Here is a 13735-nt window from a genome sequence, read left to right on the forward strand (position 1 = left end):
AGGTCAGGAGTCCGAGACCAGCCTGGCTAACATGGTGAAACTCCATCTCTGCTAAAGATACAAAATCTTAGCCGGGTGTGGTGGCACCTGTAATTGCAGTTGCTGTACTCAGGAGGCTGAGGCAGGAGAACCGCTTGAACCTGGGAGGCAGAGGTTGCAGTGAGCCCAGATCATGCGATTGCACTCCGGCCTGGGTGACAGGGCGAGATTCTGTCTCAAAATAAATGAATAAATAAAATAAAATTAAATTAAAATAAAATTAAATAAAAAATAAAAAACAGCCAGCAGAGATAGGGCCTAGGATGACTGAGGCCCCTGAAGGCTGTGGCGATCAGCCCCTCCCCTGTGTTCTTTGGCACCTACGGACCCTCTCCAAGGAATGGGTGGGCAGAGGCTGTCAATATTGGCTGAGAGGGAGCTTTTGCAGAACCGCACTGCACCTGCCCAACCCCACTGCACCTGCCCAACCCCACTGCACCTGCCCAACCCCACTGCGCCTGCCCAACCCCACTGCATCTGCCCAACCACTCTGTGCCTGCCCAACCACACTGCACCTGCCCAACCCCACTGCGCCTGCCCAACCCCACTGCATCTGCCCAACCACTCTGTGCCTGCCCAACCACACTGCACCTGCCTAACCGTACTGCACCTGCCCAACCGCACTGCACTTGCCCAATTGCACTGCACCTGCCCAACCCCAATGCACCTACCCAACCCCACTGTGCCTGCCCAACCGCACTGCACCTGCCCAATCCCACTGCACCTGCCCAATCCCACTGCACCTGCCCAATCCCACTGCACCTGCCCAACCCCACTGCACCTGCCCAACCCCACTGCACCTGCCCAACCACACTGAACCTGCTCAACCCCACTTCACCTGCCCAACTGCACTGCACTTGCCCAACCCCTCTGTGCCTGCCCAACCCCACTGTGCCTGCCCAATCGCACTGCACCTGCCCAATCCCACTGCACCTGCCCAATCCCACTGCACCTGCCCAATCCCACTGCACCTGCCCAATCCCACTGCACCTGCCCAACCCCACTGTGCCTGCCCAACCGCACTGCACCTGCCCAATCCCACTGCACCTGCCCAACCGCACTGCACCTGCCCAACCACACTGAACCTGCTCAACCCCACTTCACCTGCCCAACCGCACTGCACTTGCCCAACCCCTCTGTGCCTGCCCAACCCCACTGTGCCTGCCCAATCGCACTGCACCTGCCCAACCCCACTGCACCTGCCCAACCACACTGCACCAAAGGAAGAGCAATGCAGACATTCAATCCTTTGCATGCCTAAACTGGAGAAGACTGTTTATAAGATGCATGCAGGTGGGAGTCACACTGTGGGGGGGAGGGTCATCGGTCACCTGCGTGAGATCAGGGTTGTGCAGGTGGAGAAAAGAGAGGGAGGGGAGACAGATTCTATGATGAGGACAGGTGTGGTGAAAATGGGTCTCAAAAGAAATTTAAAAAATAGATGATATATATAGAAGACAGATAGATGATTGATAGATGACAGATGAAAAATATATATGATAGATGAATAGATGTATAGGTAACAGATAATAGCTAGATACATGATTGACTGATAGATATTTGATAGATAGATGATAGATGAATTTTATTTTATTTTATTTTGTTTTAAGAGACAGAGTCTCATTCTGTCACCCAGGCTGGAGTGCAGTGGCGCGATCTCAGCTCACTACAACCTCCGCCTCCCAGGTTCAAGTGATTCTCCTGCCTCAGCCTCTTGAGTAGCTGAGATTACACGTGTGCACCACCACCCCCAGCCAATTTTTTATATTTTTTGTAGAGACAGGATTTCACCATGTTGGCCAGGCTGGTCTCGAACTCCTGACCTCAAGTGATCTGCCCGCCTCAGCCTCCCAAAATGCTGGGATTACAGGCGTGAGCCACCTTGCCCAGCCATAATGGATGAATTTTAGATAGATGATAGACATAGATAGATAGATAGAAAATAGATAAAATAGATAATAGATAGATAGATAGATAGATAGATAGATAGATAGATAGATAGATAGATTAGATAGATGAATGGATAAATAGATGGATAGATAGATGGATGAATGGATAGATGACAGATAGATAGACTCTAGATGGATAATAGATGATGGATAGATTGATGATAGATGGATGATAGATAATAAATGATAGATGATAGATAAATAGATGATTGATAGAAAATAGATGATAGATGGATAGACAGATAGATAGATATATAGATAGATACATAGATAGACCAATAGACAGATAGATAGATCAATAGATAGATAGATAGATAGAATAGATAAATGGATAGATAGACACATAGATACATAGATACATAGACAGATACATAGATAGATGATAGATTAGATAGATGATAGAAGAGCTAGACAGATGGATAGATAGACACATAGACAGATACATAGATACATAGGTAGATAGATAGATGATAGATGACAGATGATAGATTAGATAGATGATAGATAGATAGATAGATAGATAGATAGATAGATAGATAGATAGACAGACAGACAGACAGAGAGGTAGTTGGGATCTATCTGCTATTTCTCAGGCTCCCTCCTGGAAGTTGGAACTGATCTCACTTGTTCCAAGACCCTCACCTTAAATCACATTGTTAGACGGTGAACCATCCAAAGCCCCCAGGCCAGCAAAGATACTACCAGGGGCCATTCCAGGACCTGAGGTATCACCACCCTCCAGCCAAGACCCAAGGCAAGACTTCCCTTTGGGTAAGGCTAGGTCTTCAGTGCACAGCGTCTAACAAGCGACAGGAGAAAGGTATGTCCTGGAGATGGGCTTGGCCCGGGAAGAGCCATGGAGACTCACGTTCAGCCCCTGCCCATCCACGCGGGAGGGAACACCGGCGTCATGGGGCTCCCCAACGCCTGGGTTCTCCTGAATGAGATCAACAGCACCACCACCTCCTACATCCGTGCCTGCGTCTCTCATCCTGTTGAGTCATGCCGTGGGGAGCAAGTTCCCTAATTCTGTCTTCCTGTGTGGACACAAAACCAGCAGCCGACGCCCCAGACACAGAGGCGTTGAGGGCGTGGGGCCAACACGCTTGCCCCCCTAACGGTTTGCTGAATAATCACTAACAATGAACTAGATAGATTACTAAGAAACAAGACATGCATATTTTCTTTCTTTCTTTTTTTATTGAGACGGACTCTCACTCTGTCGCCCAGGCTGGAGTGCAGTGGCGCGATCTCGGCTCACTGCAAGCTCCGCTTCCCGGGTTCACGCCATTCTCCTGCCTCAGCCTCCCGAGTAGCTGGGACTACAGGTGCCCACCACCATGCCCGGCTAATTTTTTTTGCATTTTTAGTAGAGACGAGGTTTCACCATGTTAGCCAGGATGGTCTCGAACTCCTGACCTTATGATCTGCCTGCCTCGGCCTCCCAAAGTGCTGGGATGACAGGCGTGAGCCACCACGCTCAGCTTTTTTTTTTTTTTTTTTTTTTGAGACAGAGTCTTGTTCTTGTCGCCCAGGCTGGAGTGCAGTGGTACAATCTCAGGTCACCACAACCTCCGCCTCCCGGGTTCCAGCGATTCTCCCGCCTCAGCCTCCCGAGTAGCTGGGATGACAGGCATGCACCACCACGCCCGGCTAATTGTGTATTTTTAGTAGAGACGGGCTTTCTCCACATCAGTCAGGCTGGTCTCGAACTCCTGACCTCAGGTGATCTGCCCGCCTCGGCCTCCCAAAGTCCTGGGGTTGCAGGCGTGAGCCACCACGCCCAGCTTTTTTTATTTTTATTTTATTTTATTTTTTTTTTTTGAGACGGAGTCTTGCTCTTGTCACCCAGGCTGGAGTGCAATGGTATCATCTCAGGTCACCATTTCTGTAACGTGCAAATTTCTGTAACGTGCACGCACAGAAGCCTTCAGAATGAAGACCCACGCTCCCAGGGAGGTACAAGCTTTTGGAGTGGAAGAAGAGGAAGAAGAGAAATTCTAATGGGGCTTGGATCTTCTCTCCTGGAGTGGGAAAAGAGGAATTCTATTGAGGGAAAGTAAGAGATTGCTAGGAAGATCCTTTGCCCAGGCTGGAGTGCAGTGGCGACTCTTGGCTCACGGCAGCCTCAACATCCCAGGCTTAAACAATCCTCCCACCTCGGCCTCCTTAGTAGCTTGGATGACAGGCATGCACAACCATGACTGGCTAATTTTTTTCTTTTCTTTTTTTTTCTTTTTTTTGTGAGACAGAGTCTCACTGTGTCACCCAGGCTGGAGTGCAGTGGAGCGATCTCGGCTCACTGCAACCTCCACTTCCCGGGTTCAAGCGATTCTCCTGTCTCAGCCTCCCGAGTAGCTGGGACTACAGGCACCCGCCACCACGCCCGGCTAATTTTTTTTTTTTAACTTTTTTTTTTGAGACAGAGTTTCATTCTAGTTGCCCAGGTTGGAGTGCAATGGCGTGATCTTGGCTCACTGCTACCTCTGCTTCCCGGGTTCAAGTGATTCTCCTGCCTCAGCCTCCCAAGTAGCTGGGATTACAGGCATACGCCACCACACCCAGCTAATTTTGTATTTTTAATAGAGACGGGGTTTCACCATGTTGGCCAGGCTGGTCTTGAACTTTCTACCTCACGTGATCCGCCCACCTCGGCCTCCCAAAGTGCTGGGATTACAGGCGTGAGCCACTGCGCCAGGCCGAAGCTGAACTTTTGTCTCCACTGGCCAAAGGGTGGTTGCACCTTCTCCTCTTACCCCCAGGCCGTTGGACTTTGCCCCACTCCCCCTGAGCCGCCGATAGCCCCTCCTGAGAGAAAGGATAGAAAAGACTTTGGAGAGGTTTGCAGATGTCTGGGAAGACAATTGCAAAGCTGACCGGGCGCGGTGGCTCACGCCTGTAATCCCAACACTTTGGGAGGCCGAGGCAGGCAGATCACAAGGTCAGGAGATCGAGACCCTCCTGGCTAACACGGTGAAACCCCATCTCTACTAAAAGTACAAAAAATGAGCCTGGCATGGTGGCGGGCACCTGTAATCCCAGCTACTCGGGAGGCTGAGGCAGGAGAATGGTGTGAACCCGGGAGGCGGAGCTTGCAGTGAGCCGAGATCGTGCCACTGCACTCCAGCCTGGGTTACAGAGCAAGACTCCATCTCAAAAAAAAAAAAGAAAGAAAATTGCAAAGCTTCCTTTCGCCCCCTGGTGATGATGATCCTTTATTTATTTTATTTTATTTTATTTTATTTATTTTTTGAGACTGAGTCTTGGTCTGTCACCCAGGCTGGAGTACAGTGGCATGATCTCGGCTCACTACAACCTCCGCCTCCCGGGTTCAAGCGATTCTCCTGCCTCAGCCTCCCTAGTAGCTGGGATTACAGGTGCCCGCCACCACGCCTGGCTAATTTTTGTATTTTTAGTAAAGACAGGGTTTCACCATGTTGGCCAGGCTGGTGTTGAACTCCTGGCCTCAGGTGATCCACCCGGCTCGGCCTCCCAAAGTGCTGGGATTGTAGACATGAGCCACCATGCCCGGCCTCCTTTTTAAATTTTTGAGACAGCATCTTGCTCCTTTGCCCAGGCTGGAGTGCACGATCATGGCTCACTGTAGCCTCAGACTCCCCGGCTTAGCGATCCTCCTCTCTCAGTCTCCTGAAGTAGCTGGGACCACAGCTGAACGTCACCACACCCGGCTAATTTTTGTATTTTTAGTACAGACGGGGTCTCACTATGTTGCCCAGGCTGGTCTCCAACTTCTGGCCTCAAGCGATCCACCCTCCTCGGCCTCCCAAAGTGATGGGTCTACAGGCATGAGCCACCATGCCTAGCCCAAGTTTTTTGTAGAGATGGAATCTCACTATGTTACCCAGACTGGTCTTGACTGCTAGGCTCCAGTGATCCTCCTGCCTCAGCCTCCCAAAGTTCTGGAATTACAGCCATTCTTCACGCCTTTGCTGTTTTTTTTTTTTTTTTTTTAGACAGAGTCTCACTCTGTCGCCCAGGCTGGAGTGCAGGGGCAAAATCTTGGCTCATTGCAACCTCTGCCTCCCAGGTTCAAGCGATTCTCCTACCTCACCCTCCCGAGTAGCTGGGATTACAGGCACGTGCCACCACGCCTGGCTAATTTGTTTGTTTGTTTGTTTGTTTGTTTGTTTTGAGATGGAGTCTCGCTCTGTCCCCCAGGCCAGAGTGCAGTGGCACGATCTCGGCTCACTGCAAGCTCTGCCTCCTGGGTTCACGCCATTCTCTTGCCTCAGCCTTCCGAGTAGCTGGGACTACAGGTGCCCGCCACCACGCCTGGCTAATTTTTTGCATTTTTAGTACAGACGGGATTTCACCATGTTAGCCAGGATGGTCTCGATCTCCTGACCTCGTCATCCACCTGCCTCGGCCTCCCAAAGTGCTGGGATTACAGGCATGAGCCACTGCGCCCGGCCTGTTTGTATTTTTATTAGAGATGGAGTTTCAGCATGTTGGTCAGGCTGGTCTCGAACTCCTGACCTCAGGTGATCCACCCGCCTCGGCCTCCCAAAATGCTGGAATGACAGGCGTGAGCCATTGCACCCGGCTAATGCTGTCTTCTTTGTGGTCACAAAACTTCCCCAGAGAGAGAATTTACAACACTCATCATTTTTCAGAGGTTTTTGCTTTTAGTCAGAAAAGGGAAGCTCCAAGAAGTTTCTTTCTAGATCTGTTGATTCTCAAATGCCTCAGTTCAGAAGAATTTATATGCCAATGTGGCTTTTTTTTTTTTTTCCGAGACGGAGTGTTACTCTGTCACCCAGGCCGGAGTGCCATGGCGTGGTCTTGGCTCACTGCAACCTCTGCCTCCAGGGTTCAAGCGATTCCCCTGCCTCAGCCTCCTGAGTAGCTGGGACTACAGGCGCCCACCATCATGCCCAGCTAATTTTTTTTTTTTTTTTTTTTTGTATTTTAGTAGAGACGGGGTTTCGCCATGTTGGCCAGGATGGTCTCGATCCCCTGACCTTGTGATCCGCCCGCCTCAGCCTCCCAAAGTGCTGGGATTACAGGCATGAGCCACTGCACCCAGCCTGTTTTGTCAACCTTATGATCTCTGTTTTTTTTTGTTTGTTTGTTTTGAGACAGAGTCTCACTCTGTCACCCAAGTTCGAGTACAGTGGCGCGATCTCAGCTCACTGCAACCTCCACCTCCCAGGTTCAAGTGACTCTCGTGCCTCAGCCTCCCAAGGAGCTGGGATTACAGGCAGACGCCACCACGTCTAGCTAATTTTTGTAATTTTTCTTAGCAGACATGGGGTTTCACCATGTCAGTCAGGCTGGTCTTGAACTCCTGACCACAGGTGACCCACCCTCCTCGGCCTCCCAAAGTGCTGAGATTATAGGCTCAGCCCCAACTTGGCATATTTTGGATTGACCCATTCTAGTCCCTTTTAAGAAGTGCAGACAGAGGCCGGGCACGGTGGCTCACGCCTGTCATCCCAACACTTTGGGAGGCCGAGGCGGGTGGATCACGAGGTCAGGAGATCGAGACCATCCTGGCTAACACAATGAAACCCTTTCTCCACTAAAAATACAAAAAATTAGCCGGGCGACGTGGCAAGCTCCTGTAGTCCCAGCTACTCGGGAGGCTGAGGCAGGTGAATGGCGTGAACCCGGGAGGCGGAGCTTGCAGTGAGCCGAGATCGTGCCACTGCACTCCAGCCTGGGTGACAGAGTGAGACTCCATCTCAAAAATAAATAAATAAATAAAATAAAAACCCAGGAGGCAGAGGTTGCGGTTGGCTGAGGTCGTGCCACTGCACTCCAGCCTGGGGGACAGAGCGAGACTCCATCTCAAAAAAAAAAAAAAAGAAACGCAGACAGCATTTCAGTACACGCTTGGGGGTTAACTTAAACAGTGACCATCACCAAGCGAAATCTTAAAATGCGAGCAACGTGGAGCTAAACGGACTGCAAAAAGAAGACCATTGTGTATTGTAGGCACTGTCACAAAAAGGCAGAACCCCGCTTCTTCAGCGTAGCTGAGAACGTCCACATCAGGCAACTCAGATTTTTTTGCCACACTGCTTATGATGCCTCTGAATGGCCACAAACTTGCCCCAAGTATCAGCCGGGTGCGGTGGCTCATGCCTGTAAATTGCATCACTTTGGGAGGCCGAGGTGTGGGTGGATCGCATCATGAGGTCGGGAGTTCGAGACCAGCCTGACCAACGTGGTGAAACCCCTTTTCCACTAAAAATACAAAATTACCCCGGCATGGTGGCTCATGCCTGTAATCCCAGAACTTTTGGAGGCTGAGGCAGGAGCATTGCTTGATCCCAGGATTTCAGGACCAGCCTGGGCAATATAATAACATCCTATTATTTATTTATTTATTTATTTTTGAGACAGTGTCTCACTCTGTTACCCAGGCTGGAGTGCAATGGCGCAATCTCTGGTCAACGCAACCTCCACCTCCCAGGTTCAAGTGATTCTCCTGTCTCAGCCTCCCGAGTAGCTGGGACGACAGGTGCCCGCCACGTCACCCGGCTATTTTTTTTTTTTTTGTATTTTTAGTAGAGACGGACTTTCACCGTGTTAGCCAGGATGCTCTCGATCTCCTGACCTCGTGATCCGTCCACCTCAGCCTCCCAAAGTGCTGGGATTACAGGCATCAGTCAGCACACCTGGCCCACTTACCATCTTAACTGTGTGTGTTTGTTTTTTTTTTTTTTTTTTTTGAAAGGTAGCTCTCCAGAGAAAGACCCTGTAAGTATCTTTTTCTTTCTCAATGACATCCTGTGATTGGGCCATGAGTCACCTCCAAGTTCAGTGCTCATTTCATGGAACTGTTTAGCTGTGGGGCCCCACTGAACCCTTTGTGGTCACGCGGCAGCTCTCGGAGGAGCCACGGTTCTCCTGAACGCCCCTGGCTCAGCTACTCAACAATCACACAATGGACAGAGCGACGTCCTTCCTCCAAAGCTGCCCACTGAGAGATTTTCAGGTCAAAAATTGTAGTGCGTTGAACAGTGACCCTTAACATTTATGTCCACGTTAACCTCAGAATGGGACATTATTTCAAAATAAGGTCTTTGCAGATGTGATGAAGGAAAGAATCTGAAGATTGGCCGGGCGCGGTGGCTCACGCCTGTAATCCCAGCACTTTGGGAGGCCAAGACAGGCAGATCACGAGGTCAGGAGATCGAGACCATCCTGGCTGACACGGTGAAACCTCATCTCTACTAAAAATACAAAAAATTAGCCGGGCGTGGTGGCGGGCGCCTGTGGTCCCAGCTACTCGGGAGGCTGAGGCAGGAGAATGGCGTGAACCCGGGAGGTGGAGGTTGCAGTGAGCCGAGATCGCGCCACCGCACTCCAGCCTGAGCGACAGAGCGAGATTCCGTCTCAAAAAAAATACAATACAATACATTACAATTATAAAATAAAATAAAATAAAATAAAATATAAAATGGTCTTTGCAGATGTAATGAAGTAAAGAATCTGAAGATGAACCGGGAGCGGTGGCTCACGCCTGTAATTTCAGCACTTTGGGAGGCCGAGGCGGGCGGATCACCTGAGGTCGGGAGTTCAAGACCGGCCTGGCCAACATGGTGAAACCCCGTCTCAGGGTGAGCCACCGCACCTGGCCCCAGTTCCTGTTATTAAACGTCCATAGTTACTAGTCGGGACTGGCAGGGATGGCTGCAGAGAGGAGCATGTCGTCAGTCACTAGAGGGCAGCAATGTCCCCCACCTTCAGGCGACCGGATTCTCACATCTGGGTGGTGGCCACAAGGACCTCCCAGCAGCTCTCAGGTGGTGCTAGTGATGCTTCCATGGACCGCACCTCGAGAAGTGGGAAGAGCTTTAGAAGCTGTCTGGGCTGGGTGTGGTGGCTCACACCTACAATCCCAGCACTTTGGGAGGCTGAGGCAGCAAGATCTCTTGAATCCAGCAGTTTGAGGCTAGCCTGGGCAACATAGTGAGACCCCCATCTCTTAAAAAAAATGCAGGCTGGGCGCAGTGGCTCACGCCTGTAATCCCAGCACTTTGGGAGGCAGAGGCGGGCAGATCATGAGGTCAGGAGATCGAAACCATCCTGGCTAACACGGTGAAACCCCGTCTCTAATAAAAATACAAAAAATTAGCCGGGCGTGGTGGTGGGCGCCTGTAGTCCCAGCTACTCGGGAGGCTGAGGCAGGAGAATGGCGTGAACCCGGGAGGCCGAGGTTGTGGTGAGCCAAGATCACCCCACTGCATTCCAGCCTGGACAATGGTGTGAGACTCCGTCTCAAAAAAAAAAAAATGCAAAAATTTAGCTGGACATGGTAGCATGTTCCTGTTGCCCTAGCTACTGGGGAGGCTGAGGTGGGAGGATCACTTGAGTCTGTGAGGTGGAGGTTGCAGTAAGCTAAGATCACGCCGCTGCACTCCAGCCTGGGTGACAGAGTGTAACTCTGCCTTTAAAAACAAAAACAAAAACAAAACAGAGGCCAGGAGGGGTGATTCACGCCTGTAATCCCAGCACTTTGGGAGGTAGAGGCTGGAGGATCACTTGAGGTCAGGAGTTAGAGGCCAGCCTGGGCCACATAGCAAGATCCTGTCTCTAAGAAAAAGGAAGGAAGGAAGGAAGGAAAAAGAGAAAGGAAAGAAAGAGAAAGAAAGAAGGAAGGAAGGAAAAAGGAAAAGAAAGGAAAGAAAAAGAAAGAAGAGAGAGAGAAAAAAGAAAGAAAAAGAAAGAGAAAGGGCAAGCAAGCAAGCAGGGAGGGAGGGAGGGGAGGGAAGGAGGAGGGAAAGAAGGAAGGGAGGGAGGGAGGGAGGAAGGGAAAGAAAGGAAAGAAAAGAAGGAAGGAAGGAAAGAAAGAAAGAGAAAGAGAGAAAGAAAAGCAAGAAAGGAAAGAAAGAAAAAAGAAAAAGGACATAAGTGCTTTGGCCCCACTGTGGATGGAGAGGTTGCTTTTGCCCAGCAGGGCCGCTTGGGCATGACCAAGAAGCACTCTCGTTGCCACCTAACAAAGGCCTGTCTGAGTCGGGACCACGCAAGATGTGGACGCACGCAGGGAAAGCTGTCAGCAGCTTACACCCATGAAGCCCTTTGCTGTCCTCACCCGGAGGTGCAGACTCTGAGGACCCCTGAGGGAAAGAAAGGCAGGAAAGTCTGACCTCCTTGTCAGAGCCCTGTGTCCAAGAACTGGGTACTCAGCGATCACAGGACGGTTGGGTTTCTCCGCCTCCTCCCTCAGGTCACAACTCAGCTGTCTGTGCCCCAAACTGGCCACCGACACCAGGTTCTCTCTTCTTTTAAAGGTTTTCCAGAGAGGTGTACCTGGTGCCCCGTCCTGAGTTGAAAACAAAACATACTTTGCGCCGTGGCTCACGCCTGTCATCCCAGCACTTTGGGAGGCCGAGACGGGCGGATCAAGAGGTCGGGAGATCGAGACCAGCCTGGCCAACGTGTTGAAACCCCCGTCTCTACTAAAATACACAAAAAAATTAGCCGGGCGTGGTGGCGGGCACCTGTAGTTCCACCTACTGGGGAGGCTGAGGCAGGAGAATTGCTTGAACCCAGGAGATGGAGGTTGCAGTGAGCCAAGATTGCACCACTGCACTCCAGCCTGCGGACTCTGTCTCCAAATAAAAAAAGGAAAGGAAAGGAAAGGAGAGGGGAGGGGAGGGAGGAAGGAGGAGAGGGGAGGGGAGGCGGGAAGGAGGGGGGGAGGAGGGGAGGGGAGAGAGGGAGGTGGGGAGGAGAGGGAAGGGGAGCGGAGGGGAAGGCGAGGCAGGGGAATCTCGCCAGGCCAGATGCCTCAAATGTGCTATGAAGGAAAAGTAAAAATGCCTGCGGTGGGTGCTGAAGACACACACCAGCCAGGAGATTCCCGCGGGAATTAGAAACACCCTGACCCCGACCTTGGGTCAAAACAATGAAGAAATAACACATGTCCTAAGAGGCCGTGGCTCCTGATCGGACAGATTTTAATTTCAAAACTTCATCCACGTCTTTGGGTTCAGGCAGGGGGAGCGATGAACAGGTGCTGACAGCCAGCATCTTTCGAAAGATTTCCTTTGTGTTGACAGACTGAGTTGACACTTGCCCAGTGAAAGAGAGATGATTTGCTCTCTCTGTGACCACCTGCCCCCCAGGAGCCGGTGACCAAGATAAGCCCCGTGTCCCCAGCCAACCAGTCAAGGTGCCACCTGCGATAGCCCCTGAGTGACTCAGGCGGTGCCCACATTACCGTCGGTGACGGTAGCTTTGGTTTTCAGAACCTCTGATCACAAAACAAGGTTTCTCTGGGACACTCTGGCTGTGGCTCTACGGATGAGCTCAGCTGTGGAGAAACTTCTGAGTGAGCAGGATGGAGTTATAGAAAAAATATCAGGCCGGGCGCGGTGGCTCACGCCTGTCACCCCAGCACTTTGGGAGGCCGAGGCGGGCGGATCACCTGAGGTCAGGAGTTCGAGAACAGCCTGGCCAACATGGCGAAACCCCGTCTCTACTAAAAAGAATAATAATAATAAAAATTAGTTGGGCATGGTGGCCTGCAATCCCAGCTACATGGGAGGCTGAGGCAGGAGAATCGCTTGAACCTGGGAGGCAGAGGTTGAGGTGAGCTGAGATCGTGCCATTGCACTCCAGCCTGGGTGACAAGAGTGAAACTCCATCTCAAAAATAATAAAATTAAATTAAATTAAATTAAATTTTTTAAAAAAAGATATCAGACCGGGCACAGTGGCTCACACCTGTCATCCCAGCACTTTGGGAGGCCGAGGCGGGCGGATCACCTGAGGTCAGGAGTTCGAGACCAGCCTGGCCAACTGGGTGAAACCCCATCTCTACTAAAAATACAAAAATTAGCCGGGTGTGTTGGCGCGCACCTGTCATCCCAGCTACTCGGGAAGCTGAGGCAGGAGAATCGCTTGAACTCGGGAGGCGGAGGTTGAGGTGAGCCGAGATCATGCCACTACACTCCAGCCTGGGCAACAAGAGTGAAACTCCATCTCAAAAAAAATAAAGTAAAATAAAATAATAATTTTAAAAAATAAAGATATCAGGCCGGTTGCAGTGGCTCACGCCTGTAATCCCAGCACTTCGTGAGGCCGAGGCGGGTGGATCCCCTGAGGTCAGGAGTTCGAGACCAGCCTGGCCAACAGGGTGACATCCCATCTCTACTAAAAATACAATAGTTAGCCGGGCGTGGTGGCGGGTGCCTGTAATCCCAGCTACTCAGGAGGCTGAGGCAGGAGAATCGCTTGAACCAGGAAGGTGGAGGTTGAGGTGAGCCTACATAGAGCCGCTGCACTCCAGCCTGGGCAACAAGAGCAAAACTCCATCTCAAAAAAACATAAATAAAAATAGATAAATAAATAAATAACAAAAATATCAGGCGAGGCACTGTGGCTCACGCCTGAAATCCCAGCACTTTGTGAGGCCGAGGTGGGCGGATCCCCAGAGATCAGGAGTTTGAGACCAGCCAGACCAACATGGTGAAACCCCGTCTCTACTAAAAATACAAAAATTAGCCGGGCGTGGTGGTGTGCACCTGTCATCCCAGCTACTCAGGAGGCCGAGGCAGGAGAATCGTTTGAACCCGGGAGGTGGTTTTGCAGGATAGATAGATTCAAGAGATCTATGGTACAATGCATGGCTGGGCGCAGTGGCTCATGCCTGTAATCCCACCACTTAGGGAGGCAGAGGTAGGCGGATCACAAGTTCAGGAGTTCGAGACCAGCCTGACCAACATGGTGAAACCCCGTCTCTACTAAAAATACAAAAATTAGCTGGGC

General features: G+C 51.0%; 1 protein-coding gene across 18 annotated transcripts in view; it reads left to right on the forward strand.

Moving 5' to 3' along the window:
- CSF2RA (colony stimulating factor 2 receptor subunit alpha) overlaps positions 1-11445 on the forward strand; it is a 56405-nt gene extending 44960 nt beyond the window's left edge. For 5 of the 18 annotated variants that reach the window (NM_001379163.1, NM_001379159.1, XM_047442716.1 and 2 more), the window contains one exon: positions 11255-11445. In NM_001379163.1, the coding sequence (NP_001366092.1) occupies positions 11255-11290 (36 nt within the window). In that variant the 3' untranslated portion in view covers positions 11291-11445. Of the gene's footprint in view, positions 1-8691; positions 9356-11254 lie in introns of those variants that run through there. The other 13 variants (XM_047442711.1, XM_047442712.1, XM_047442710.1 and 10 more) reach the window with 5 other exon arrangements.
- Positions 11446-13735: the final 2290 nt, after the last annotated feature.

The sequence above is a fragment of the Homo sapiens genome, chromosome Y, assembly GCF_000001405.40.
Source record: "Homo sapiens chromosome Y, GRCh38.p14 Primary Assembly".
Classification (NCBI taxonomy): domain Eukaryota; kingdom Metazoa; phylum Chordata; class Mammalia; order Primates; family Hominidae; genus Homo; species Homo sapiens.